This window comes from Homo sapiens, chromosome 2 (genome assembly GCF_000001405.40).
Source record: "Homo sapiens chromosome 2, GRCh38.p14 Primary Assembly".
Classification (NCBI taxonomy): Eukaryota; Metazoa; Chordata; class Mammalia; order Primates; family Hominidae; genus Homo; species Homo sapiens.
In genome coordinates this window covers 234022315-234023375 of record NC_000002.12, presented here as the reverse complement: position 1 = coordinate 234023375, position 1061 = coordinate 234022315, and positions in this window count along the sequence as shown.

The window sequence follows — 1061 nt, the reverse complement described above, 5'->3', positions numbered from 1 at the left end:
ACCAGAGGGAAGAAACTCCAAGCACATCTAAACATCAGAAGCAACAAACTCTGGGCATGCTGCCTTTAAGAACAGTAACACTCACTGCGAGGGTTTGTGGCTTCATTCTTGAAGTCAGTGAGACCAAGAACCCACCAATTCTGGACACACTGGGATGCCTTCCTGCCTTTTCTCCCATAGCGAGGTTGTGACCCCCTCCTACCTGCTCCCCTAAAGTCCTTGCACTCAAGCCCCCATCACAGTTCATGGCTCATGCCTGCAACTAGCTTGGACCTGGCTTTCCATGTGGATTGTAATTCCATGAGAATAGGTTTAGGTTATAGCTAAGCACATTATGGCACACAGTTTATGTGTCTAAATGCATACGTGTGTGAACTGGTACAAATGTCCAGGGCTTTGTCCCACAAGAGCTCCTAATCAGGGGAGTTGGGGAGACAGAGCTGTGATGGTTAACTTCATGTGTCAACTTGACTGGGTCATGGGGTGCCCAGATATGTCGTTAAGCTTTATTTCTGGGTGTGTCTGTGGAGGTGTTTCAGAATGAGATTAGCATTTGGATTGGTGGACTCAATAAAGCAGATTTCCCTCCCCAGTGTGGATGGGTATCACTCAATCCATGGAGGACCTGAATGGAACAAAAGGGTTGAGGAAGGCTGAATTCTCTATTTCTGCCTGACTTTGAGCTGAGACATTGTTCTTCTGCCTTTGGACTGGGACTTGCGCCATCAATGCTTGTGGTTCTCAGGCCTTTGGACTCAGACTGGAATTACACACTACCAGCTTTCCTGGGTCTCCAGCTTGCAGATGACAGACTGTGGGATTTCACAGCCTCCATCATCATGTGAGCCAGTTCCTCATAATAAATGTATTGTTTCTGTTTATCTGGAGTCCCCTATACAATGACCAGCAAGGGCTGAAGTCAAGTTTGTAAATAGGGGTCTGTCCTCACATGGGGCAGGACTTGTGACCTCTGCCTGGGATTGCAAGGAAAGGGTGCAAAGGTGCTTAATTACAAATAATATTTCAACTAGGCAAGAGAGAAGAAGGAACATGAATAAAGA